This window comes from Homo sapiens, chromosome X (assembly GCF_000001405.40).
Source record: "Homo sapiens chromosome X, GRCh38.p14 Primary Assembly".
In the NCBI taxonomy this organism is placed as follows: Eukaryota; Metazoa; Chordata; class Mammalia; order Primates; family Hominidae; genus Homo; species Homo sapiens.
The window spans coordinates 153,573,218-153,599,218 of record NC_000023.11 but is presented as its reverse complement, the minus strand read 5'-3'; the positions used below and the strand labels follow the sequence as shown (position 1 = coordinate 153,599,218).

Here is a 26,001-nt window from a genome sequence, read left to right as displayed (position 1 = left end):
GGGGCGGGGCGGGGCGGCGAGGGGCGGGGCGGGGCGGGGCCGGACGCGGCCGGGTGGGGCGGCAGCGCCCGCCGCGAGCACCTCCAGTTCTGCCGGCTTCTGCGCGCCGGGGCCGCCTCTCCTTCCGCCGGTGCCGCGGCGCCTCATGGAAGCCCCGGAGGGCGGCGGAGGGGGGCCTGCAGCGCGGGGCCCGGAGGGGCAGCCGGCGCCCGAAGCCAGGGTGCACTTCCGAGTGGCGAGGTTCATCATGGAGGCAGGTAACCGCGGCCGGGGGAGGCCAGGACAGGCGGCGCCGCGGCCCGCTTCGCGGAGCGGGCCCGGCTGGCCAGGCCGGCCTTCTGGAGTGCTCACCGTAGCAGAGGCCGGGAAGCCCTGCTCGGGGCTGAGGACCTCCGCCTTTGCGCCGCGCCCGGTGTGCTGAGCAGTGAGCCGCGAGGTATCCCCATGGCGTGGACCGGTGTGCAGGCCCTAGGAGAGGACGTGGCCGGGTTGGGCCTCCAGCGAGGCGGAGACCGGCCCGGGCGCCCGCAGCTCTGCGCAGTGCGCCACGCCTTCTGCCGGCACCCGCGGCCCTGCACTCCGGTAGACTTTATGGCGCTTAGTCGCGCGGAGCCTTTTGGAGAACGCTGTCCGAGGGTTCCTGTCACTCCGGGGACCTAGGCTGCTTGCAGCTCCTGTTCCGAACCCTGCCAGGACATCCACAGTAGTGTTGGGCTCCGCGCTTCCCAGGCGAGGTGATTAAGCTAAGATCTCTGTAGAAACATCGTTTCCATCCAGCCATCAACAGTATTTTTTTTTTTTTCGAGACGGAGTCTCGCTCTGTTGGCCAGGCTGGAGTGCAGTGGCGTGATCTCGGCTCACTGCAACCTCCGTCTCCCGGACTAAAGCAATTATCCTTCCTCACGCTTCCGAGTAGCTGGAATTACAGGTGTGTGCCACCGTACCCGGCTAATGTTTGTATTTTTAGTAGAGACGGGGTTTCACCATGTTGGCCAGGCTGGTCTTGAACTCCTGGCCTCAGGTGATCCAGTTGCCTCGCCCTCCCAAAGTGCTGGGATTACAGGCGTGAGCTACCTCGTCCGGCCCATCAACAGTATCTTGATAGGAGATACTGTTAGTTGGCGGGTAGTTATTTCCTACCTTTACTGCTTGGGGGAGAAGGGTTGGGCAGATGTGCTTTCTACCCAAGGTGGGCGGAGAGTCTGAGGACTGCTGCAGGACTGTTCATCCCAGTGATATGTAAATTTACTGTAATTTGCAAGAAGAGTTGCAAAGTTATTATTAGGGAAGGATGGCAGTGACACCTCATCTGCTACCGTCTGCTCGGAGGGTCCGTGTAAATTGGGGTTTGCTCTGTAAAACAAAGCTTGGAAGGTCATGTCAGTAACAGCACCTTATCTGGCATCTCCTGGAATGAGGGGTCCCAGGTAGGAATTGTCTTTATATAACAAGTTTAGACCTTCTGAGGGACTTCTTTATAAAATGTATTACACAATCCTTTGTCCTTTGTAGGAGGCTAAATATTGATTTCCCAAAGATGTCCCTATCCTAATCCCTGGAACCTGTGAATGTCATCTTATATAGCAAAAGAGATTTTGAAGATGTGATTAGAGACCTTAAGATGGGAGATCATCCTAGATTATCTGGGTGTAACCACACCCATCCTTATAAGGCAAAGGCAGGAGGAGTCACCGTCAGAGAAGGCCACGTGAGGACAGAAGCAGAGTTAGAAGCTTTGAAGATGGAGGAAGGGGCCAGCAACCAAGGAATGCAGCCCTCCTCTAGAAGCTGGAAAAGGCAAGGAAACATTCTCCCATGGAGCCTCCAGAAGGAGCCAGCCCTGCTTAGACGTTGATCTTAGCTTTCTAGGCTAGTTTTGGACTTCTGACTTCCAGGATCGGAGGAGTATAAATGTGTGTTGTTTAAGTGGCTGAATTTGTGGTGATTTGTTGCAGTAGCCCTAGGGAACTGATCTACCTTCTTAGGCAGAGGATGCTGACTGTCATTTCATGGTTGATTGTCGGTTGTTCTTCGCCTTTCTGTTTTGGCCTAGTGGATGTCATTTAACCTTGTCTTGTGAACCCTGGTGGTTGTGAATTTGTTTTGGTTCTGTGCACCAGGGCAGTGATTTTCTTAGGAGCCATTCAGGGATGGGCTGGGGATGGGCTTTAACCCCTAAGTAGAATCCACTGAATCCTGCTCTGGTGTTTTGAGTTTTGTTCACCTTAAAAATTTTTTTCTTTCTCTTTTTTGTAGAGACAGGGTCTCACTCTGTTGCCTAGGCTGGTCTCGAATTCCTGGGCTCAAGCAATCCTTCTGCCTCAGCCTCCCAAAGTGCTGGGATTACAGGCGTAAACCAGCATGCCCAGCCCACTTTTCAATGTGCTGGTGTCCTTCCCTGGTGCCTGGCTGTGGCCATAAACATTGCCTTTTCTCTGCAATGCAAGTGGTTACTCTTGGCAGTCACGCTGCTTGCTTTGCTCACCTCTTCTAACCTGTGGACTACGAAACCAGTGCTCAGTGTAATCTTTCACTGTGACTTCAGGACTTGTGGCACCCACGAGGCCGTTTCTTTTCTGTCGTCGTAGCTGTGGGGTGGGCGACTTCTAGCTAGCTGTTTGCTAAGGTGAACCCAGACACACAACAGCATATAGTCCTTTTCCAGGGTTTTGCAGAAGCTGCTATGCCAGTTGCTAACTGAGCGGTCCTCGGAACCCTTGTTTCCCAGAGCGTGGTCTATAGACCCCTGACATGGGCATGACCTGGGGCTTGTCAGAAGTGGAGAATCTCAGAGCCGCAGACCTACAAAAGGGGAAGTCTGCATTTGAACACCATCCCCAGGGGCTTGGGTCACCCACTAGAGTCTGAGAGCCCAGTAAGAGACCCAGCAGGAGCCACTGGCTCTGCTGGAAGTTCTTAGCCTTGTCCAAGTAGGGTTGTACCTGCTAGGGCCCATTCCAATGGCTCCCCTCACTGGAGCAGTGAGCCAGCGCTGGATTGAAGTCCTCTCTTGCCTGCTTTCTCTCCGCAGGTGTCAAGCTAGGGATGCGGTCCATTCCCATTGCCACTGCTTGCACCATTTACCATAAGTTCTTTTGCGAGACCAACCTGGACGCCTATGACCCTTACCTGATTGCCATGTCTTCAATTTACTTGGCCGGCAAAGTGGAAGAGCAGCACCTGCGGACTCGTGACATCATCAATGTGTCCAACAGGTAATGGCATTTGGCTGGGCTCCTGATCTCCACCCGGTGGGGGGGACGGGCAGGGAAGGCTCCTATGGGGCCCTGCCCACCAGGTGCCAGCAATGGAGCTTGGAAGGAAGTACCTGGATGGCCTTGAACCAGGCAGGGCCAGAAACAGTAGCAGCAAACGTGAGAAGGAGCCTGATGTCAGAGGCCAGTGGGGTCTGTGAGAGAAACGCTGGGCCAGATTATGGGGAGCCTCGAAAGCTGGATGGAGGGCAGAGGCGGGGCTTCAGCAGAGGGAGCTTGGAGAGGCATGTCAAAGAAGATTCTGTGGAAGTCTTAGACAGGGATGGCTGCAGGCAGAAGAGCTTGCCTGCAGCGGGAGGGTGCAGACCCAGCCAGGTGGTAGGTCCCAGTTGCTTAGGAGCCTCGCCCTGCTGTGGGTGTGGCGTGGGCATGGCACAGCCGGCCCAAGCAGGTGTGTTCCTGCTGGGGCAGAATGCAGGGTCTTCGCCAAGGCGAGGGAAAGACGGTCTGGGAAATACAAAACTGAGAAATGTTCACTTTTTGGAGTATATCATTCCCATGAGAGGCTTAAACATGTTCCTTGGATGGCTGGACGTGGTGGCTCACGCCTGTGATCCCAGCACTTTGGGAGGCCGAGGCGGGTGGATCGCTTGAGCCCAGGAGTTCAAGACCAGCCTGGTCAACATGGTGAAACCTCGTCTCTACCAAAAATACAAAAATTAGCCGGGCGTGGTGGCGCATGCCTGTGGTTCCAGCTGCTCGGGTAGCTGAGGCGGGAGGATCGCTTGAGCCCAGGAGGTCAAGGCTGCAGTGAGCTGTGGCTGCACCACTGTACTCCAGCCTGAAAGGCAGAGCAAGACCCTGTCTCAAAAAGTAAAAAGTAAAAATAAGTTAAAAAAATACGTTCCTTGGGCCCAGAGTGAGAGCCCCGGGCATTGCCACCTCAGGTGATGAAGACTCCCTAATGCCGGGCTGAGTATAACAGGAAGCACAACCGACTTGGCATGCTCAAGCTTCCGGTTCCTCTGGAGCCATCGCCAACAGCCAGTCTTTGCACTTGACATTTTGCTGAATGATAGCGGACAGCCCATCTGGCTAAAACTAGGAGCTGGCTTCTTTCCTCTGTTGGTTACTGTTTTCATTCTCTACACTAGATGTGGAGATGAAGAATTTTTGTATAAAAACCCAAATAAAATGACCCTCCATGAATCTGCAGATGGACGATGTAGTTTGCATCTGGACATTGTGTGACTTAAGCAATTTGAGCCATCCAGTGCTCAGGAGACTGCCCTGGCTGCTGAAGCATTGCCATTTCTCTGCGCAGGTACTTTAACCCAAGCGGTGAGCCCCTGGAATTGGACTCCCGCTTCTGGGAACTCCGGGACAGCATCGTGCAGTGTGAGCTTCTCATGCTGAGAGTTCTGCGCTTCCAGGTCTCCTTCCAGCATCCACACAAGGTACATACTGGGGAACTGGTGCCTGTTTGGAGAGGCTCAAGCCATGGTCTCTGTTCTTTATCCCAAAAGTGCATCCCATCTCATACTCGAGAGCACAGCACAGAAGGAGAGCAGGGCTGCGGCTGGGAACTGGGTCTCCTGGCTCTGTGTTTGTGGCTGGGTTGGCCGCCCGGCCTCTCCCGTCCCACCCCTGTGGGTTTTCTCAGCCAATTCTCATTTCAGCTTCTGCCTTTCTGCCTGCTCACCTGTGGGCGGGGTCCGTGCTGCCCGCTGAAGCTGTGGCAGCTCCTGTGGTCCATATAGATGGTGTGCACGCTGGGCCTCGGGGAAGCAGGCTGGTTTTGTGACCGGCCAGAGTCCCCGTCCCCAGGGGATGCTGTGATGCCTCGGAGCACGCCTCCAGCTCAGCTGTGCTTAGGAAGCCATGGGGAAAGCCAAATCGCTTGAGTCAAGCAGCATGCTTTAACTTCTAGGAATGTGTGAGTCTCAACAGAAGAACCATTTCAAACAGCAGTAAAAGGGAAAAGTGGAACGCTTAGGCGACTGGCACACGATGCTCTGGGCACCGCAGCTCCATGCACGGGCAGCTCAGAAGGCTGGCCGGAGACAGAGATGGAGGAGTTGTGGTTTGGGGCTCTGGGCTAGGAGTTTCATTCTTTTTCATCGGAACTCTTCCTGAGATCATTGTAGATTCCCATGCAGTTGTGACATGTACCCTTAGCCCAGTCTCCCCCAGGGGTAACACAGCCAGGATGCCAAAACCAACACAGTCCACTGGCATCCTCACTTCCACTTGTATTCCTGTGTGTATATTTTTCTGTTCCATTTTATCACGACTCCGTTCACGGACCTACCACCACAGCCAAGGTGAGAGACGGTTCCACCCGCATGGGCCCTTCGTGTTGCCTTTATAATCTTGCCTCCAGCCTTCCACACTCCCACCTCAGTACCTGGAAAGCCCTGGTCTGGGATTTCTGCGCAGTAGTGTCTTAGTGGGCAGAATGCTTGCTGAGCATCCTGGGGGAAGGTGGGAGATGCCCTGGTGGCTGCAGGGTGGAGTTGTCAAGGCGACAGGGCTTAGGAAAGAGCAGCACTCAGACCTCAAGGGGTGTGTGATCTGTGCCCAGATGGGGAACTGATAGCTTGGTGTGGCTGGGAGCCTGCCAGCCCCTTCCCCTCCTTCCAGTCAGGGCTGGGGTGGAAAGTAACCTATGTATCCCTCCTGCATGGTGTGCTGGGGTCACACGCATGTGTGTTCCAGACTGTCCAGAGAGCTCGCAGCATCTGTCTTATTGTGTGAGGTTCTGGCAAAATGTCAGTGTTCTGAGAGCAGGAGCTGGCAGCTGGGCTGGGAGGTCATTTGGATGTTGTGGCCGAGGACAGCATGTGCCCTTGGCAGCAGGCCAGATGCATGGGGAGCAGCACCTTCTGTTCTGCCCATGAAGAGGGTGCTTTCCGGAGCACCAGGCCCCGAGGAATTTCATGGTGGCCAGAGCGGGCCCTGTGGTGGAGAGGGACTGTGGTGGGGGTGGCCCTCGTAGGTTTCCCTAGAGCTGGGTCTGGAGGGTGAGAGTGGGCAGGTGCATACGGTGAGCTGGTTTCAGGCAGAGGGCTCAGCAAGTGCGAAGGCCCTAGATGGGGTTTGCTGGAAGGCAGGGTGGGATCGGCAGGAGATGGGGCCAGCAGAAGGCCTTGGGGCTTCTTCCTGAGGGACATGGAAGCTGCTGGAGGGTTGGAGCAGGTGCTGATATGATTATGTCAGCATGAGGAGAGCAGCTGGTGGGCCTAAAGGCTGACACACGTGTCTTTGCAGTACCTGCTCCACTACCTGGTTTCCCTCCAGAACTGGCTGAACCGCCACAGCTGGCAGCGGACCCCTGTTGCCGTCACCGCCTGGGCCCTGCTGCGGGACAGCTACCATGGGGCGCTGTGCCTCCGCTTCCAGGCCCAGCACATCGCCGTGGCGGTGCTCTACCTGGCCCTGCAGGTCTACGGAGTTGAGGTGCCCGCCGAGGTCGAGGCTGAGAAGCCGTGGTGGCAGGTGAGGTGGCTGCTTGGCACACTGGACGTGCCCCCTTTCCCTCTGGAAGTCTCTGTATTGCAGTGCTCACCAAATTCTATTAATTATCCATGAAGAAAGATACGGGCTGCTGGGGAACATGGAAGCTCGAAAGTACCCTGTTGCGATGGCCTGGGACAGGCTCTCCCCCTCGGCACAGTTGCCATTTAGGGGTCCCGGATGTCGAACAGGAGTGCTGGCCTCCACCGACGTCGCCGGTGTCCCGGGAGGAGGGTTGCCCCAGCGGAGAACCGCTTTTACTGAATTGAGTGGGAACTTGACTGTGATCACAGGTTACTAAACCTGGCTTCCCATCAGAAACATCTGGGGTGCTTTATGGAGAGGGCTGGATGGCTAGGTAGGTGACAGCTAGCTGGCTAGTTGACAGACACCTGGATGGATAGGGGAGAGAGCTGATGGGCAGGGTGGCGGGTGATTGATAGGTATTAATAGGTAGATCATGGAGGGTAGATGGTGGAACTCTGTAGGCCTGTGCATAGGACAGCTTTCCAGGTGGCTGGTGCTGTTCTGCATAGAGGTAGCCCTGCCTCTCTTCCCTGGCCCGTGTGCCTTGTGGAAGACCACAGCATTTGCTGATTTTTGCGTGTTTATTGTGTAATCTCGTATCCCCAGTCAGCTGTGAGTGCCTGAGGCTGGGCATCTCTTCCCCAGTCTCCCGCGCCTCCCTGGCACCAAAGCGGGTGCTCATGTGTCTTTGAACCCATGCACCCATGTTCCCAGTCTCAAGCCGGAAGCACCCTGTCCCCAAGGCAGTGTGCAGGTGGTGCAGGGCCATCTGTGTAGACAGTGTTGCCCCACGCTCGGGCTGCTCAGGGACTTTCACATAATGTGGCTGCCTCGTGCTCAGGGTTGGACTCTGGGGGGGGCAAACACCCTCTGGGGACATCTGGTGGGTGTGGCCCTGGCCCTGGGCTGCCTGGCTATGCTGCATCTGTCTTCCTTTCTGCTCTGTCTTCTGCGCTTGCTCGTAAACCTCACCTGGTGTGGCAGTACCACCTGCGTCCCATGCTCAGCCCCTCCCAGAGGAGTGCGAGCCCAGGTAACCCTGCACAGCCAGGAAGCAGCTCTACCAGCAAGTTGTTTGCTGGCGGCCCAGACTCACCCAGTCATCGTTCAGACTGGGAAGAAGTTACCCTTTGTGGGGTGTGGAACTTCTGTTCAGCCAGCTCTTCTTAAAGGCTCTGCTAAACTTGACCTGACCTTTGCCTCCCAGCTCGGGGCTGTGCACCAGAAGCTTCCGGAATCCAGGTGCCTCCTGTGGGCTGGCGGGGTGCGAGGGCCTGATCCCCCATGATGAGTGAGATCCTGGGAGGCCTCACCCACCCGGGTGCTGCAGAGCTCACGGCCTGGCTTTTGAAACCCTTTCTTCCTTGTGTGCTCTCGGCTGCCACTTCTTACGGTGACTCCTGTCACTTATCTGCCACGGGCTCAGCATGGCAGCTTGATGTGCTTCCCTGGAGAAGCCTGCCTGCACTCTGACTTGCCAGATGAGCAGGGACAGTAGCGGGGTCAGAAATGATGCAGGTCGTCACGCAATGCTGCTGAAACTTCCACGTCCAGAGCCACACCGAGTGCCCTCCATCCCCTTGTTCCTGAGCAGAAGGAGAACCTGCCTCTTTCCAGCCACTGCTGCTTTTTGTCTTATAAGCAGATGGACTGCCCTCAAAAAGGCAGAGTCCCCAGAGGCCAGCAGTGTCTCCTCCTAGGACTTGGGTCTGTGTCTCTTCTGCTGTCAGGTGCCCCAGGGTTGCCACCTGTTCTGGACTGTTACATTTAATTGTGGTGACATAGACATCACCTAAATTGTACCACGTTCACCATTTTTAAGTGTGCGGCCCAGGGACGGAAGCACATTCACGGTGCTGTGCAGCCATCACCACCATCCAGCCGCAGAAATTGTTCATCTTCCCAAACTGAAGCTCTGGCCCCGTTCAACCCCAACTCCCCACCCCCAAGCTCCTGGCACCCAACCTTCCACTGTCCTCTACAGAGTTCACGGCTCTCCTTTGAGGCCCCTCACAGGAGTGGAATCCTACAGTGCGGGCCTTTCTGTGACTGGCTTCTTTTGCTGAGCACAATGTTGGAGCCCCCGTCTCAGAATGTCCTTTCTTTTGATGGCTGAATCATATTTCATGGCCTGCATGGACCATATGATATTAACATATTCATCCATCGATGGATGCAGGCTGCTTCCACGTTTTGGCCTTGCTTTTTTTTTTTTTTTTTTTTTTTTTTAATAGAGACAGAGTCTCACTCTATTGCCCAGGCTGGAGTACAGTGGCGCAATCTCAGCTTACTACAGCCTCCACCTCCTTGGTTCAAGTGATTGTCCTGCCTCAGTCTCCTAAGTAACTGGGATTACAAGTGCCTGCCACCACACCTGGCTAATTTTTGTATTTTTAGTAGAGACGGGGTTTCACCATGTTGGCCAGGCTGATCTTGAACTCGTGACCTCCAGTGATCCACCCGCCTCGGCCTCCCAAAGTGCTGGGATTACAAGCGTGAGCCACTATGCCCAGCCCCTGAATGTTTTTTAATGATTGCTTCTGAGCTTGGGGTCTCCAGGAGCACACAGGTCATGGACCCCAGCAAGCAAGTGTGCATTTCTGAAGTATTTGTTTTTCACCCAGAGCCCAGGGTAAGACAGCTATGCTTCCTGAGTCAGGACTTGGAGGGCGTCCAGGTCACCATCTCCTACCTGAGGTTGTAGGCCACAGAGGAACCTAGGGTTCTTTGGGAGCATTCAGCAGGGGTGGACGTAGGTCCAGTTCTTGCCTTGACTTGGCCCAAGGCCTTGATCTGATTGGTACATTGGTTCCCCAGGCAGCAAGCTCTGGCACAGGGTGGCTACAGACGCAGCATCTGACCAAGGTCTTGCTGCTTTACTTACTATTTCCCTTATCATTGGGGATCCCGAAGAGCACCCTGGGGCTCAGTGCTGTGCCGGGAGGGCTCGGAACTCAGAAAAGCTGTCACACTCCCAGTTCCGGTTTATTACAAGGAAAGGACACAGGTTACCGTGAGCGAAGGCTCAGGGCGCACAGGGCGGGCTCCAGGAGAGACCAGGCGTGAGCTTCAGCGGCTCCTCGCCCAGGGGAGTTGTGCAGACGGCACCTGTTTCTTTCGGCAACAGTGTGGGACAGCGAGCACGGAGTCACAACCGGGAAGCTCATCCCAGCCATGGCGGCCAGGGTTTCCGTGGGAGGTGGTGGGCTGCATGGGCATGGAGCGCCTGCGTGGCCAACCCTGGTCACTTGGGCTGCAGCCACCAGAGATCTGGCTGGGACTCTGTGGCCCAAGGCCCTCACCATAAATGATGTGGTTAGCACAGACCGCCTGGCAGTCCAGTAAACCAAGACGCTCACACGGGGCAGGATTTTCTAGGGGCCTAGAGGTTATCCTCCAGGAGCCAGGCAGAGGCCAGACCTGCCTTTGGAAGGTACAGGGTGTGGACCCCAGCCTGTGGCGTGGCCCTGGGCTGCAACCCTCCTGCCATGGGCCCCGAGGATGTCCTTCGCCGTCTTGCGAGTGCTCCTGCACGTGGCGGTCCGGACTGTGGAGTGGGTCCACATGCTCCCCAGGGGCTGGGTTAGGGTAGGCGTGGGGTCCGGGTACTTAGCCTGCCTGTGGCTGCACAGGGACTGCCACCCTCTCCTCTTGCCAGTGTCCGCAGAGACCCTGGACCTGAGGGAGTCCCGGGCAGGAGGCAGGAGCCTGTGCTCTGGACCCAGCTGTGTTACCAATTCCCTGTATGACGTTGGACAGGTCCCCTCCTCTCTGAGTCAGAAGATCACCAAGGCCTGTTCCATCTGGAATGTTCTCGGCCTTGTAAAGTGTTTGGCCTCAACGGGCTGGAATTAAACTGGCTTTGCAGGAGAGCTACTGTCTTCCTACATAGCCAAGTCCCTGTGCCCCTCCCCTGCCCATGAAATGTGATTCTCTGCTTAGTGACAGGTGCCTTGTTTAACATAGAGGGAGTCTAACTGGAACCTGTTTTCCTTCTTCTTTCTAGGTGTTTAATGACGACCTTACCAAGCCAATCATTGATAATATTGTGTCTGATCTCATTCAGATTTATACCATGGACACAGAGATCCCCTAAGGTCCTGGCCCAGGCCTGCCCAAAGAGAAGCCCAGGATGGTCGGCTGCCTGGGGACATTGTCACCACGTCGCCATGACGGCTGGTCCCCACAGGACCAGCTGGGAGGACTGGTTGTGCTGCTGGAGAAGGGCTGGAGAAGGCAATGGCATGCTGCCGCTTTGCCAGTCCCTAGAAGTCGCGGTGCAGGTGATGGTGGGAGCCGCGCCTCCAGCGGGCAGGCCGGGAGTGTACTGTGTGCAGCTGACCCAAGGCAGCCACATCTGCGTTTGTCCTTTGAGAGGACTTTGACTACAATACAGGCATGACATCAATGAAAGGAAAGTCATGAAATCGATGAGACTGAATCCCTACGGATTTCTTAAAAGCCAGATTTGTAGGGAGAATGAATGTGCAACGTGGCTGAAATCTATTTTGTGTAATAAAAGGTGATACAAGTCAATAGGGACCCTTGGCTTTGCTCTGCAGCGCATGCTGCACATGGGGGTGTGAGGGGCCCTCAGAGACTGGTTCCCTCAGAGTGCTCTCAGGTAGAGTGTGTCCCAGCCATCAGGCGGCAGGCCTGGGGTTAGGGAGGATCACTTGCATTCAGAAAAGTGAGTCCTGATCGAACGTAACTAAAAGTAATGCGTTTTTAAATGTCAAGGTAGCCAGTCTGGATGGGGAGGCTGGAGAAACTCAGAGCTGTGGCCCCCAGCACCCCTCTGACTCCTTGCTCAAAAGCCAGTGGGTAAGAAATAGACCAGTCCAGGAGGCGCTCTCTAGGTCCCCTTTCAGGCTAGACGTACGTTCAGCACGTGGCGTAGGGCCGGGGGACTGGTAGGTTTACACAGGAGGGTGGGCTCCGGCTCCTGCAGGTGTGGGGGCAGGGGTGATGCAGGTCAGGGCAGAGTCTTGCTTGACTTTACAGAGCGACTATGTTCAGTGTCTTCAGAATGAAGTATCTGAGCAGATGTCACAGGCTTCCCTGGTGGGCAGGCTTGCCCTGGCTGACCTGCCCTTCATTTCGTAGAACTCCCCTGTGGGTTTTGATGATTAACTTCTCCTAAATGTGGGCTCCTGCTTTACCTGTTGTAAGCCTTTTAAGACTAATCAGTCAAAGAACCACATTTATTGAGCAGCTACTGTGTGCCCAGTCCTTGCCTGCGCTCTGGCAACCAGGTGAAACTCCTTGCTTATGTGGAGGGAGAGATGGGAAACAGAATGAGAATGTGTAGCGTGGTAGTGAAAAGAGGAAGGAAGAGAAGGTGGCCAGGGCTCAGAAGAATTAATATGGTAAAAATGGCCCTCATGGCCAGGTGTGGTAGCTCACACCTGTAATCCCAGCACTTTGGGAGGCCGAAGTGGGTGGATCATCTGAGTTCAGGAGTTTGTAGACCAGCCTGGCCAACATGGCAAAACCCCGTCTTTACTAAAAATACAAAAATTAGCCGGACATGGTGGTGGATGCCTGTAATCTCAGCTACTTGGGAGGCTGAGGCAGGAGAATCGCTTGAACCTGGGAGGCGGAGGTTGCAGTGAGCCGAGATTGCGCCACCATACTCCAGCCTGGGCGACAGACGGAGACTCTTATCTTTTTTTTTTTTTTAAAAAAAGAAAATATTCACAAACTCTACGTCTGACAAGGGGTTAATATCCAGAATATATAAGGAATTTAGACAACAGAATAACAACCTAATTTAAAAATGGGCAATAGACCTAAACAGACATTTCTCCAAAGAAGACGTACAAGTCGCCAACAGGTATGTGAAAAAATTGCTCAACGTCAGGAATCAGGGAAATGCAAATCAAAACCACATCGAGGATATCACCTCACTTCAATTAGAATGGCTACTATCAAACAAAAGAAAACAAGCTTTGGTGAGGATGTGGAGAAAAGGGAACATTCACACACTACTGGTGGGATATACTATAGCCACTATGGAAAACAGTATGGATATTCCTCAAACATTTTAAAAATAGGCAGGGGATGGTGGCTCAGGCCTGTCATCCCAGCTCTTTGGGAAGCGGAAGTGGGAGGATCATTTGAGCCCAAGAGTTCAAGACCAGCTTGGGCAACATATGAAGACCTCTTGTCTATTAAAAAAAAAAAAATTAGGCCAGGCACTGTGGCTTATGCCTGTATTCCCAGCACTTTGGGAGGCCGAGGCAGGAGGATGGCTTGAGCTCAGCAGTTCGAGACAAGACAAGACAAAAGACAAGACACAGGAAAGACAAGACAAGACAAAAGACAAGACACAGGAAAGACAAGACAAGACACATTTTAGCATTCAAATACATTTTAACATTCCAAGAAACGAAGAGTGGGTTCTGGAGTTAGACCACTTGGCTGTGAAGGCTGGTTCTATCACCCGTGTATCTTGGGCTAATTCATCCACCCCTTTTTCTTTTCTTTTTTCTTTTCCCCTTCCTTCCTTCCCTCCCTCCCTCCCTTTCTTCTTTTCTCCTTCCCTCCCTCCCTCCCTCCCTCCCCACTTCTTTTCTCTTTTCTCTTTTCTTTTCTCTCTTTTGCAATCATGGCTCACCACAGCCTTGGCCTCCTGGGCTCATTCGATCCTCCCACCTCAGCCTTCTGAGTAGCTTGGACTACAGGTGTGCACCACCGTGCCTGGCTAATTTTTTATTTTTATGTTTGGTAGAGATGAAGCCTTGCTATGTTGCCCAGGCTGGTCTCAAACTCCTGGACTCAAGCGATCCTCTAACCTTGGCCTCCTAAAGTGCTGGGATTACAGGCGTGAGCCACCATGCCTGGCCCGGTATGTTAAAATGTAAAACCAATAAGGAACATAGTAGTTGCTTGAAATAACAGGCAATCATTGTGGTGGGGAAAATTAGTGCCCGCCAATTCTAGATAGGATCATGTGCTTCATGTTCATCTCTGGAAGTCCAGGGGACACTATAGATGTCACTGTAAGCACTTAAGAGCAAAGGTGTAAACATCTATTTTCTCATGTGAACTTCCAGAAAGAAAGGACTCTGAGGTGACAGAATTGCAAGCCAGAAACAGCCTCCGTGCCTATATTTCTTCTGGAACCTAACAGAGCCTCCCACGTGCATGGAACTGTGCTGTGGGTGAGAATAAAGCTGCTTGATTCAGGTATAAGAAAAAGGAGGAGAGACACAGACAGACACACGCACAGGGAGAGACAGACATGGGAGAAAAACCACACGACAACAGAGGCAGAGGTTGGAGTGAAGCATCTACAAGCCAAGGAATTCCGAGGACGGCTGGCAATGCCCAAAGCTAAGAGGAGGTCCTGGAGCAGATTCTGCCCTGGAGCCTTCAGAGGGAGCATGGCCTGCCCATGCCTTGATTTTGGACTTCTGGCCTTCAGAACTGGGAGAGAAGTTTCTGTTGTGAGCAGCCACGGGCCACTCACACACGGGCCTCCCCCAGACCCCTGCGCAAGCCTTTACTCCCAGGACTCAGCTGTTTCACTGAGTTCCGATTTTCCCCTGTGGAACCTGTGTCATGTTTGAAGCAGAAGCTTGTGGACAAGGGATTCACAGACACAAATTTGCGATTCTTTTGGGGTAGCATGATGTCTCTCCATGAAGGGCCAGCTGTCTTGGTATGGACTTTGGCTCAATCTGGACTTACTCATCCTTATGGTTCAGGATGCACTTGGACACCAATGCAGCAAGGACATGCTGCGATTCTTCTGCCTGCTGTTTTTGATTTGTCTTTTCTCTTCTCTTTTCTCTTTTTTCTTTTCTTTTCCTTCTCCTCTTATTCTTCTCTTCTCTTGTCTTCTCTCCTCTCCTCTCCTCTTCCCTCCCTCCCTTCCTTCCTTCCTTCCTTCCTTCCTTCCTTCCTTTCTTTTCTTTCCTGACAGAATCTTACTCTGTCACTCAGGCTGGAGTGCAGTGGCGCGATCTCGGCTCACTGCAACCTCCGCCTCCTGGGTTCAAGCGATTCTCCTGCCTCAGCCTCCCAAGTAGCTGGGATTACAGGCATGCACCACCAAGCCCGGCTAATTTTTTTATTTTTAGTAGAGGGTTTCATCATTTTGGCCAGGCTGGTCTCGAACTCCTGACCTCAAGTGATCCCCCACCTCGGCCTCCCAAAGTGCTGGGATTACAGGTGTGACCCACCGTGCCCGGCCTGATTGGTCTTTTTGCCAGTTTTAGAAGCATGGACTCTGATGCTTTGAATGACTTTGAAGCCATTTTTCTCCTCTCTTGGCAGCCTTCCTGGAAAATGCGTCTTCCGGTGCTGCCAAGTCGAAAAGGGGAAGAGAAGTCCAATGAAATGAGGGGAGTGTGGTCTTAGTGCCATCGCCAGGGTGGTCATTGGCAAGTCTTGGCCACAGGATTGCCTTCCTGGCTCTTCTGGGCTCAAGCAGGGATGGGACCATGGAGCATGGGCGTGCACAGGCACAGGTGTTGAGGGATGCAGCATGTGGATTAAGGGAATGAGTGAAATGGTGGGCTTTCTTCCTGTGGCTTTCGATTAGCAAAGGCGTCTATGATTGGAACCCTCCTGCACTGCTGATGAGAATGGAAAATGGCGCTTTCTCAAAAGGTTCAACCTACAGTTCCCATAGGATCCAGTATTTCCACTGCTGGGTATAGGCCCAAAGGAATGGAAGGCAAGGTCTGGAAGGGCGGTTTGCATACCCATGTTCACTGCAGCATGGTCCACAATAGCTGAAATGTGGAAGCAACCTAAATGTCCATGGATGGCTGATTGCATAAGCAAAATGTGGCATATCCAGACAATGGAGTATGATTCACCTTAAAAAGGAAATTCTGACACATGCTTCCACATGGATGATCCTTGAGGACATCATGCTAGTCACAGAAGGGCAAATACTGTAGGATTCCACTTCTATGAGGGGCCTAGAGTGGTCAAATCCATAGAGACAGAAAGTAGAAGATTGGGTGCCAGGGGCTGGGGGGTGGGGAGTTGGGGTTGAACGGGGCCAGAGCTTCAGTTTGGGAAGATGAACAAGTTCTGCGGCTGGACGGTGGTGATGGCTGCACAGCACCGTGAATGTGCTTCTGCCCCTGGGCCGCACACTTACAAATGGTGAACGTGGTACATTTTATGTGATCTGTGTTCTACCACAATAAAAGAAGTGGGGAGCGTGCATGTGTGTCGGGGAGCCTCAAATTCCTGGGCCCAAGGGATCCTCCCGCCTCGGCTTCCCAAAGCGCTGGGATTACAGGACTGAGCCACCGCGCCGTGTACTAGAGGCCCTTTCAAGTCAAGACAGCCGCGGCTCCTGCAGCAGCTGGAGCCCCTCCCACTGGGGGCCTAACATCCCAGCATAAGTTCCTCTTCTGCATACACATCCGGCCAGGCTGCTGCACACCCAGGGGAAAGCCCCTCCTGCCCGGGGCTTCTCCAGCTCTGTTAAAGAGGCATGAAGGCACCTTTGTTTTGTTCTGCACAATAATTCACCAAATAATAAATCACACACGTTACCCAGACCAGGATGTAAGGAGCCTTTCATTTTTTTTTATACACAGAAATTTTGGTCTATTCTTTAAGTTAGGAAATTCAACTACAGACTTTAAATTATTACGTATCTGTGATCTTTCTCATTAAGTTTTTTTGTTCATCTTTATAACAGGCAGATAAAAATGTAAAACATATTTATGAACTGAACACAGTTGACCAAGCCATTCCAAGTAATATAATGCTTTATAAAGAGGGGCTTCCCAATGAGACAGGGCCCCCAGCCTTGAAGACTGCAAAAACAAGAGCAAAAGATTCCAGGTCATGGTACCCCGTTTCTGAACTCCACAGCACAGCACAAAGGTGACCTAGGGACTAAACAATAGACATTTACATTAGGCAACTTTATACAGCAGCAGTGAGGGTTTGCTTTTAATATCTATTGGCCATTGGTCCTATCGGTGTGTCTACGACAGAGAGTGAGAAGAAGCCGGTGAGTGCAGCAGCACGCAGCTCCAATTTCAACGTCTCAAATTTGATTTCTCATTGAAGAACACAAAGACCCTCAACAAATGGAGTTGCCCTTTTTCTTATTATCGTTTAAACAAGGACATCAGGGAACAGTTTACAAATGGGTGACATTCTCAATGTGCCCTTTAGAAAAAAGGGATGGCTTTGAGTTATCTGCAGCTGGCATTTTAAAGTGGGATTTTCTTTTCTAACCGAAATTCTTTTGCCCAAGATTTGACTGCTTCTGCTCAGGGGTGACATGGCATTCATGGGAATAGTGGGGATGACGCCTGCTCCTGTTTGGTTTTGTGTGGATGCCGGTGGAGGTGAGACAAGCCTTCTGAGGGTGCCAGTGCACGTTGGTGGTTTCCATTCCGATCCTCTGTCCCTCAGGTCCCAACTGTCTCCCAGTGGCTGAGCCCAAGGCCCAAACACCTCCCTGCAAAACGTGACACCTGCAAGTGTGGAAGGCAAGGGTCCCCCATGGCATCACTGTGTGGACCTAGGGGCTTCCTCAGGAGGGTGGCAAAAGTCGGGCCCCTCTTTATCCCCTTTGCTCATTTGGGGGAAACTGAGGCTTGGCCACCAGGTGCCCACACTGCCAGGATACGCTCCCCTCAGGACCTGGTGCTGAGCCACAAATCCATGACTTCATGGCTTAAGCTTGGCCGCTGGACACAAAGACTAGGGTGGGAAGAGTGCTTTGGTGGTGGCACCTCTGATGTCACAGCAGACATCAAGGTGGTCTACCGAGGACTCCTCGGCATTTGCCAAAGCAAACAGTGGGAGTCCATCCAGGTGCTGAGGGGACAGGGTCTGAACTGTGGCTGCGTCCCTGCCGTCATTCTCCCACCACCAGCTCCTCCGGGCTTCTGACGCTCCCTCTCCCTCCATTGGCTTCTTTTGAACTCTTGGCCCTGCCCCCGCCCCCTCGGACCTGTGCTCAGCTGAGGCTGCTCTCTGGACTCTGGGCAGGACCCACAACTCCAAGAGTGCTTCATGCTCTTGAAGGTGGGGGCATGGCCAGGATGAAGGATGTGGAATTGGAGTAGGAACCAAAGAAAGCTGAAAACGAAACTCCCCTTTCACTAACTGGAGGACTCCTTCTCATCAATATTTTGGTTTTTTCCTTTTAGATTAAAATTTCCCTTGAAAGGGTTTTCTCCTCTCTGGCAGGGGTCTCAGTGCAAATGCTCCAATTATACCTGCTCCAGACCTGGAGCGCCCCCTCTCGGCCTTCTCCTTGGGAATCTCAGTAGGGCCGGGCAGAGGGCAGGAGCGAAAGGTGGGGGCGGGGTGATGAGGGACAAAAATGGGTTGACCAGAAAGATATTCTTGCAGTCTAGTTCCCTGAAAAAAAAAAAAAAACAACTACAACCTTGCTACATTCAATAATGAAATTTCCAAATGAAAATGCCTGATAAGAGGAATGCAAATATCATGCCAGTAAATAGTTCCTTATTGAAATACGCATCTGGCCATATATACGTGTGTGTGTACAGATCCACACACATACACATATGTGCATGCACGCACACACATGCGCACTGCGGATGTGCCTAGTTTTTGCAGAGGGCGGGTTGCTTTGTGGCTGCAGGGCCGCTTGCAGGCGGCTCCCTCAGGTGGCACCCTTCACAGGCCTGCAGAGCACTCAACTTTTTTTTTTTTTTTGCATGAAGATGCTGATCTGATTGCCCCTGCATGGGTGCAACAAAAGCTCCCCATAAACCCAAACCAGCCCCCTGCCCACCACACAGCTCAAATGGCAAACACACGGTAAAACTGTAGTTTGTTAAAAAAGAAGCATCAATAGAAAAAAAGGTGGGGAACTCAGCTCTTCGCACTTTCTACTTCTTCTCCTTCCTCCTTTGGACGAAGAACCTTCTCCTCCCCCTTTTTGTCCTCCTCTTCCTCCTTTTCCTCCTCCCTGTCCTCGTCTTCCTCAGTCCGGATGAGGAGCCTGTGGCAGGCTGCACCCTTGTTGAATGGATTTGGGTCCTTGCAAATGCCCTGCCAGAAAGGTCTTCAGCCACCTTAGTTGTTCCCTCGTTTTGCAGGTGTGCAGGTCCCCATATGTGTGTGTGCGTGCATGTGTGCGTGTGACTTCGTGTGAGTCCGAGTGTGCGTGTGCGCATGTGCTGAGACAAGTTCTTGTTAGAGGGACGTCTCCACGCTGTGGAGCGGGCTCCCGGGACTGGAGGAAAACACTGAAGAGGTAGCTGACTTGGTGACATGCGTGGTCAGGTAGATGCCGCTGTCTATGGCGTTGTTGTTCTGGTTGGGGGACGGGGGCGGGGGGGCCCGGAGGCGCTCCTCGTTCTCGTCCACGTCCGTGTCGTCAATGAGCGGGATGTTGTGGGTGTAGTCATTGATCAGAAACTCGGGCGTGGCCATGAAGTTGTGAATGGAGGTCTTGGATTCTGGTTTCTCCAGGCCTTCATAGAGCGAGCTACGGAACGCTTTCACCACCCGGATCTGGAGTGGGAGGTGGAGGGACAGGGCGCGAGGTGGGAGCAGGGAGGGAGGAAAGGAAGGGAAAGGAAAGGAAACGTGGAAGGAAGGTAGGAAGGAAGGAAGGAGACAGTCAGTGGCCGGCTGGTGCTGGTAAATTCCACCCACGTCAATGGCTGGGGGTCATGGCATGAGAAATGTCCACCCATTTGTTGGAGGGCTGCTACGGAATGGGATGGCTCTGCCTGCCTTTGGAAAGAGTTTTCAGGTGTGGGCCTTGGTCTCGTCAACCGATCCGCATGCAGGAAAAGATGGCAGTGTCTTTCTCTAGGCTGAGCTGGGCAGGTATTCTGGAACTTGAGAGTGCTGCACTAGGCTCTTGGCTGTGACCCCGCAGTTCCCTGTCCTGGGGAGACGAGTGGCTTTGGTGACCTCTGGGGTCTCTGCCCAATCTGAATTCCAATTTGGTAGAAAAGAAAGATGATTTGAAAAGGAGAGAATGCTGGTGAGTGGGATGTCTTCTCGATCTTACCAGAAAGTCCGAAGTACCTGCTGGTATGAGCAAGTTCCCAGCCTATGGGCACTGCCGGCCTTTCTCGCATGGGTCTCCCTCCATCCCCCAGCTCCCATGGCTGGAGCCGGGACCTGCCATGTCGAGGGTCTCCCTGCGGCTAACTCCACTGGCCACTTCTGCATCTTCGTCTGATTTGATCCCTCAGGGCACTCAACACAGAAGATCATCCCTCTTTCTGGAAGCTTCTCATGGCTTCCTGACATTGCCCCTGCCTGGCCCTCTTCCACCTCACCAGCTGCCCTGGCCCCATCTCCTCCACTGCCCTCTCTTCTGTCCCTGGGTGCCCCAGAGCTCTGGCCTGGCTCTGTCCCTCCTCCTCTCTGTCCATACCTCTCCACCCTGGCCACAGTGCTGGGGCCCATCTGGCTATAACCAGAAACTGTGGCCCAGGCCTGTACTCAGAGCTCCAGGCCAGAGAGCCCAGCAGTCCCCAGCTGGAGGTATCTGAGACCGAAAATGGCCACACTTTTGATTTGCACCCACTAAAGCCTGTCTCTGCTCAGATGCCCCTGTGGCCTCCTCACAGCCCCCGTGTCTGACTGGGTCTGGTTCAATCTGGTGCCCCTGCTCTTCTGACCTCACTCCGCCTGTCCTCTCTCCCGTCTCCTCCTCCATCTTCCAGTCAGACATTCCAAAACTTGCGTCTCTGCTGCCTCCCGGGCTCCGCTCTGTGTTGTTCCCTGGCCATCCCTCCCCACAGGAGTTTGCAGACCTCAGATCAGCGGAACTTCCCGCATGAAAGAGCTCCCGCTGTGCCCCAGACTCCCCCGGCACAGTGGCCCTCTGCCCCCAGCTGAGCGCACGGCAGCCCTTAAGCCCCCTGACCCTCCGGCAGGGCACTGCTCCAGGAGCGAGCCCTTCCCTCCTCTGGCTTCTCCACCTTGCCTCACGCACTCAAGTCCTTGCTGCCTCTCTTTGCTCCCTGGCCCCTCAGCCTGGGCCCCCTCCTGCTTCTAGAAGCCAGGAGTTGATGGGGAGGCCTCTGCCTGGCCTCGCACAGGCCAGTGTCAGCACAGCCGCCAATGGTAGCTGGCCCACCTTGTACTGCCATCCCTATAGGGGGCAGCAGACGGAGCGCTGAGCTGCCAGGCAGACCCTGGGGTTCATCCAACACCTGTCCACCCCTGCCTATGTGAGCAGGTGGACACATTAGGAGTTCTGAAGCATTTCTGGGGCCAAGGTTCGACCTAGGATTTGGTTTTCTGGGTTTAGACAAGGTGTCAGGGCTTGCTGAGGGGCTAACCCCAGCTCTCTGCTAGTTTTGGTTAATAAAATTTTACTGGTTTAAGTTTCATGCTGTAAGGGCACAGTTGTGTCACGGCAGCAGAGACCAGGCCTGGAAAGCTAAAAATATTTCCTCTCTGGCTCTGTCGTTTAGACAATTAATCACCTTTTTTCGGTGACTTTCTTTCAGCCCTCCAGGGGCTCAGCTAGGCAAAGCACAGTGCTTCGGAATCAGCTGAAATGATGCCAACCTCATCACCTCTCCAGTGCAAAAAGTGAGCCAGGGCCAGGTTTGGTGGTCCACGGCTGTAATTCCAGCACTTTGGGAGGCCGAGGCGGGCTGATCGCTTGAGCTCAGGTGTTCGAGACCAACCTGGGCAACAGAGTGATACTCCCCGTTCCTATTTAAAATAATAATAAAAAAAAGTAAGCCAAAAAGCTCCACATTGGAATTTTCTAGCACCCCATCTGAAATCTGGTTCGGATTTTCTCTGCATTCGGGAAAGCCACATCTGCCAGACGGCAGATGGTCAGCTATTCTCACTCAGGCCTTTATCCCCAGACTGGTTTCTGAATTAGGGGTAACACAGAAATTGAGAATAATTTGACGTTTTTAATGAAAAGAAACAGAATTCAGTTTTCGTAGCCAATGCAGATGTTGCCTCATTATTTAGGCCTTTTCTGGTACAGGATTGTGGTGTGGAAGCCGCCTGGGACATCGCCTGCTAAAGCTGTTGCCCATCAAGTCACAAAAAGGACAAAGTGCTGCAGGCCTTGACCCCAGGGCTGTGTGGGGTGAGATCTCGCTGAGCTGGTGGCCTCATTCAGACCTGGGGGCATGTGATCAGGCCAGGCCCCTGCTCAAACCTATGCACAGGTCTCACTGCACCTGGCTCAACTCCAAAGACCTCCATAAAGGACAGCCAGGCCACGGAGCCAGCCCTTCCTTCCAGGCTGGGCTTCTGCTGCTACTGCTCCTCCGGTCTCACCGGCTACTCCAGCGTGCCCCTCCCGGATGGCATCTGCCTTGTTTGTGGCTTAACAACAGAGCCTGGCCCAGAGCAGCTGCTCAGCAGACACTTGGGGAATGCACAAGTGACTGAGTGAACCGCTGCAGGATGGAAGGGCTGCCCCCCAACATTCTGCTGTTTGGGGGTGCTAAGCTTGGCTGGAGTCCTGGTGAGTCTGTTACAGCTGACAGTGAGTCAGCTTTCTCCAGGCTCTATTTTCCCTGCATCCTAATCCTGGGCCATTAAACAATGTTTTGGTGTTGGTGTTAAGGTGGGGTGTTTTCAGCCCACCCAACACTGAAGGATGCAGTCGATTCCTGGGAGATTGGTTCAATGGAAAGCAACAAACGTTTCTAAGAGAGGCCCATCCCAGAGGGCTGCACTCCTACCTGGGTGCTCAAGGATGCCCTCCTTCCACCAGCCTGGGTTCACTCTGTCCTCATCTCAGGCTCCTGCACCGCCTCCTGCTCTGCTCTCAGCCCAGGACGCGCCACGCCCCCTACTGCTCCCAAAGGAATCTCATGGCCCCCAGGGCTGTCAATGCTGTCTATAGACCATCAGGCCACCGTAAATACTGCAGATACCAGCTGCACCATGTCCACCTTTTCCTGGACTGCCAGACTTCTGCCCTGGCTGCCTCCCGGGTGTTCCCCCTCGGATGCCTAAGGGACCTCTCAAATTGCAGGAGGCCCGAGGAGGACTCTTATCAGTGCTCCAGCTGAACTCTGCCCACCAGCAGCCTTCCCATCCCAGTGCAGGGCTCTGGCCAAACCTCAGAGGCACTTTGACCCCCTGACCCTATGTACCAGACATCCACGTGTCCTGTGGGCCCTACCCTAACTCAAAAGCATCTTCCACATCTGAGCCTCTCCTCACCTCCATTGCTGCTGCTATGTCCTGCCTGGGGCCCTGGGGTCACATTGGGACCCCAACCCCCACCAGCAAAGCCCTCCATCCTTCCTGTCCCTTCTCTAGGTGGAGTTTCCGAGCTCTCTCTGGCTGCCAAGTCAGACTCTTGGTCCCCCATCTGGCTCTAAACCTTCCAGTAGGCGATGGAACTGGCCCGTGTCCTGACTGTGTGGAAATTCATTGAACTGTACCCCCAAAAGCCCGTTTTACTGTGACAATTTAAAAAGAAAGGAAATGAAAGCACTCTTCCGGGAGAGATGCCCCTAGGAGGGTCAGGTTGGGCTGGAGGACTCCCCATCTCATCCGGGTGAGGCGAGGTGGCTCCCCACTGTGTGTCCCCACCTCCTTGTGTCCTCCTGCTGTCTCCCTCTGCCACACTTCTCCGTTCCCCATCATGGCTGATGGCCCTGAGAGGCCACAGTCCTTTACTCCTCACAGTCCCCCAGCGCTGTCCGACACTGCTCCAGCCCCTCCTCCTCTCCCATCCCTGACACCCGAGGGCCCCTCCTCTGGGTCTAGGTACTCTCTTCTGGCTCTCGGCCTTCCATTCCACCTGTCGGCTAACAGCCTCTCGGCTCCGGCTCCAGACTTGGGCATCTAAGCTGGGTCTCAAACTTAGCAGGCCCAACCCCCCCGGCCCCAGCCCCGTGGCTCCCTTCAAACGCCATCCAGAACCTGCACTTCGCCCCCACCCCTCCATGCCCTTAGCACGGCGGCCCGAAAACCAGAGCGTGTCTTGGTCTCCCCCGCTACAAGCCCTCCACTGGCTGTGGCCCTCGGAGCCGGCCCCAGTCTTTCTCACTCTGCCCTCTTTTACCCCTCAGCCTCCGGCACATCCCACCTGGGGACCTTTGCTGTGGCTGCACCCCACACCAGGAAGGCTCCCCTCACTCTTGTCTTCCCCAGCAGCATGGTGCCCACTTCTGCTCCTTCCTTCAAGTGCCCCCTACATCCATCCACCTTTCACTGGAAGGTAATCCCCCTGGGGCAGGGGTCTGTCTGTCTGGCTCGCTGCACCCAGCAGGGGCTCAGTGGACGGGGCTGAATGTCTGGGGCCCACACGGCTTTGCACCAGCCTCCTGTGCTGGCTTCGGCCCTCCCCATAGCTCTTTGCCCACTTTGCAATGCCCAGCCGGCTGGAGCTGTTTCTGAACACCCCACGCAGGGGCTCCCCGGAGCCATGACCCCTGCCCTTTCTGCTGCCTGGCTGGCCTTTCTCCTTCCTCTGAACTTAGCTCAAGTACGCATCCTTAGAGAGGCTGTCCCGGGCAGTTTGTTACCAGCTGCCCAGAGGAGACATGCTGAGTGCTGTGGGCTTGGCCCGGGCTCCCGACTTGCGTGGATGAGCAGTTCTGAGCCTTACACAGGGCGGGTGACGCTGCAGACTGACAAGGCCCATCCCTGGCCACACTGAGCCAAAGCGGAAGGGGTGCAGGTGTGGAGTGCCATGTGCGATGCCACTGCCGGCCAGCTGGAGTGGAGGTGCCCGCCATGTGCATGGGGAGACGTGCCCCTGGTTAGCCTTCAAGTGCTGGAGTTTGCAGTGCAGGGCTGGGGAGGAGGATGAGGGTGGAGAAGGGCCGCAGAAGCAGGGAGACAAGCGAAGGACCGAGAAGAGTAGAAAAAGGAAAGGAAAAGAGAACAATCAAAGCAAAGACTCCTGACCGCAGTGACAACGAAACGACAGAAGCTGTGCCTGACACCTTCTCACTCTTCCTTCTAATTCCTCAAGCAGAAACAAGCCCTATCCTGCTGCCTCTGTGCTGGGCACCAGCCGACCCGAGGGGCTCCATGCTCTCTGCTCAGTCTCAGCCGCTAAGGTTCACAGAACTCGGATGCTTCTGGTCGATTTCCTCCCTACCTATCCACTGCTCAGCACCAACCACTGGTCCAGAACCTTCCTTTGGAGGCAGGGACCTGTCAGCTCCCCAGGCATCTGAGCTTTGAATTTAGAGCAGATTCTGAACACAGCAGCCAGGGAGACCCATGGGGAACTTCTTGTCAAGAACTTTAGGGTTTCCAGGCTCAAAACAACCCCTGTAGGCGTGAAGGTGAATCACAACTTGAAAGCGAGACAAAGGTGTCCTCAAGAGCCTGTGGCAATAGGAACCATCAGTCAACTCGGGCAATGAGAAGCCAAGCTCAGATAGCCTGAACACTGAGGAGAAGATGGCTTCGGCCTCACTTCTCTATGTGGGGGAAGAGCAAGGGGAAGGCCCCTTTCTACCCCATGGGGATGTCACATGCTTGAATTAGGAACAATGAAAATGCAAACTCCACAGCTGGCTCTTTCCCCAAGGAATTGAACCAAAGAACGGAAAAGACAAGACATGGCTGTGTGTGTGTTGGCAAGCCAGAACTGCTTGCAGCTGGCAAGTTTCATGAAAATTGCCTCCCACCTTGTGTGCACACTCATGCCCAGGACCGTGTGAGCCTAGACCTGTGCTCCCAACACCAGCAAGCTGAACTGACCTGGGCGCGGCGAGTCAGTGTCGGGTGGTCGGACTAAAGAGGACCCAGGAGGAAGGCCCAGCTGAGCCCTTGCCTCCGTACTGGCTGAATCCAGCTGCGGGACCTCCAATTAGTCTTGAGAGGTCTCTGCCCAGGTTCCCAGCTTGGGAGTCCACACTCGGAGTGCCTGATGGGGAGGGCCTTGGACCAGGGGTCCTGGGGTCTGCCCTAGGCTGCGTTCTGGTGCCTACTTTAGGGTTTGCCTGGAAGGGCATTCCCCTGTGGTAGGGCCCAGGGTTCCAGGAAAGCCTAGGGCAGGGCTCTTGGGGGAGGGTTGCTACTGCTTCCAGCATGGAGGCAGGGTGCAGACTGTCAAAGATCTGAGAAAAAATGCCAATACACCGTTCCCAGAAACCAGGTAGGGAGGCTTGGCTCAAAGCACATGACCTTCCTGAGAATGGAGCAAACTCCAGAAAACAAGACTCCTTCCACCACGGGGCTGGGAGTGTGGTGAGCATGTCGCCCTGGGCCCTGGAAAGGAGTGTCCAGGGAAAGCCTGGGACTCACGTGGCCCGGTTTGGCCCCTTTGGCCACACGGTTTTCATGTTGCCAAAGC

General features: G+C 54.2%; 2 protein-coding genes across 11 annotated transcripts in view, besides 1 other annotated feature; one reads left to right on the top strand and one right to left on the bottom strand.

Annotated features, from left to right (window-relative positions):
* Positions 10-369: a silencer, noted in NCBI's record as "silent region_21064". NCBI's record gives its function as "represses an Ori minimal core promoter by ATAC-STARR-seq in GM12878 lymphoblastoid cells {active_cell/tissue: GM12878}" and the evidence as "EXISTENCE:reporter gene assay evidence [ECO:0000049][PMID:35858748]".
* On the top strand, positions 80-11,294 carry CCNQ (cyclin Q). Of its 4 annotated transcripts, none has more exons than NM_001130997.3 (5): positions 80-257; positions 3,032-3,215; positions 4,540-4,672; positions 6,486-6,713; positions 10,825-11,294. In NM_001130997.3, exons 1-5 carry the CDS (start codon positions 146-148, stop codon positions 10,852-10,854), a joined length of 687 nt encoding a protein of 228 aa, NP_001124469.1. In that variant the 5' UTR covers positions 80-145; the 3' UTR covers positions 10,855-11,294. The 4 variants fall into 4 exon arrangements, with proteins under 4 accessions (NP_001124469.1, NP_689487.2, XP_047298587.1 ...); NM_152274.5 differs by having other exon boundaries at positions 10,765-11,294; XM_011531214.3 differs by lacking the exon at positions 80-257 and adding an exon at positions 1,057-1,797 and having other exon boundaries at positions 10,765-11,294.
* ATP2B3 (ATPase plasma membrane Ca2+ transporting 3) overlaps positions 16,290-26,001 on the bottom strand; it is a 65,288-nt gene continuing 55,576 nt past the window's right edge. For all 7 annotated transcript variants that reach the window (NM_021949.4, XM_005274689.4, NM_001001344.3 and 4 more), the window contains one exon: positions 16,290-19,241. In NM_021949.4, the coding sequence (NP_068768.2) occupies positions 19,216-19,241 (26 nt within the window). In that variant the 3' untranslated portion in view covers positions 16,290-19,215. The remainder of the gene's footprint in view (positions 19,242-26,001) is intronic.